We start from the raw sequence: 1,381 nt of genomic DNA, 5'->3' as shown, positions 1-1,381 counted from the left end.
GCTATCCTTTCACCACTAAATTGTCTTGACACCATTATAAAAAATCAGTTGCCTATAAATGTAAGAGTTTCTGAACTGCCAATTCTATTTCAATGATCTACATATTTATCTTTATGCCAGTACCACACTGTCCTCATGACTGTAGCTAAGTAGTAAATTGTGAAATCTGGAAGTGTGAATCCTCCATCTTTGCTCTAATTTTTATGATTTGTTGTCTATTCTGAGTCCTTTGCATTTCCATATGACTGGTAGGACCAGCTTATCAATTTCTGTTAAAAATCCAGCTGGGATTTTTGATAGGGATTGTGTTGACTGGTAGATCAATTTGGGGAGTATTGCCATCTTAACAATATGAAGTTTTCCAGTCCATGAACATGGATGTCTTTCCATTTAGTTAAGTCTTCTTTAATTTCTTTTAATAATGTGTTCTAATTTTCAGTGTACATGTCTTGCACATTTTTCACTACATATATTCCCTGAGTAATTATTTTTGATGCCATTTTTAATTGAATTGTTTTCATAATTTCATGTTCAGATTGTAATCATTGCTAGTATATAAAATACAATTGATTTTTGTATATGCATTATAATTTGTAACCTACAACCTTTCTGAGCTCATTCATTAATTCATAACAATGTGGCTCTCCCTCTCCATCCCCCTCCCCCTCCCCCTCCCCCTCTCCTCTTTCCACGGTCTCCCTCTGATGCCGAGCCGAAGCTGGACTGTACTGCTGCCATCTCGGCTCACTGCAACCTCCCTGCCTGATTCTCCTGCCTCAGCCTGCCGAGTGCCTGCGATTGCAGGTGCGCGCCGCCACGCGTAACTGGTTTTCGTGTTTTTTGGGTGGAGACGGGGTTTCGATGTGTTGGCCGGGCTGGTCTCCAGCTCCTAACCGCGAGTGATCCGCCAGCCTCGGCCTCCCGAGGTGCCGGGATTGCAGACGGAGTCTCCTTCACTCAGTGCTCAATGGTGCCCAGGCTGGAGTGCAGTGGCGTGATCTCGGCTCGCTACAACATCCACCTCCCAGCAGCCTGCCTTGGCCTCCCAAAGTGCGGAGATTGCAGCCTCTGCCCGGCCGCCACCCCGTCTGGGAAGTGAGGAGCGTCTCTGCCTGGCCGCGCATCGTCTGGGATGTGAGGAGCCCCTCTGCCTGGCTGCCCAGTCTGGAAAGTGAGGAGCGCCTCTTCCCGGCCGCCATCCCATCTAGGAAGTGAGGAGCGTCTCTGCCCGGCCGCCCATCCTCTGAGATGTGGGGAGCGCCTCTGCCCTGTCGCCCCGTCCGGGATGTGAGGAGCATCTCTGCCCGGCCGCCCCGTCTGAGAAGTGAGGAGACCCTCTGCCTAGCAACCGCCCTGTCTGAGAAGTGAGGAGCCCCTCCGC

The 1,381-nt window shown here is 49.6% G+C and overlaps 1 annotated feature.

Moving 5' to 3' along the window:
* Positions 312–905: an enhancer, noted in NCBI's record as "H3K4me1 hESC enhancer chr17:56152348-56152941 (GRCh37/hg19 assembly coordinates)". NCBI's record gives its function as "activates a minimal SCP1, AML or CMV promoter by ChIP-STARR-seq in naive H9 embryonic stem cells {active_cell/tissue: H9 hESC(naive)}" and the evidence as "EXISTENCE:reporter gene assay evidence [ECO:0000049][PMID:30033119]".

The sequence above is a fragment of the Homo sapiens genome, chromosome 17 (assembly GCF_000001405.40).
Source record: "Homo sapiens chromosome 17, GRCh38.p14 Primary Assembly".
In the NCBI taxonomy this organism is placed as follows: domain Eukaryota; kingdom Metazoa; phylum Chordata; class Mammalia; order Primates; family Hominidae; genus Homo; species Homo sapiens.
This window is presented reverse-complemented; position numbering and strand designations above follow the sequence as displayed.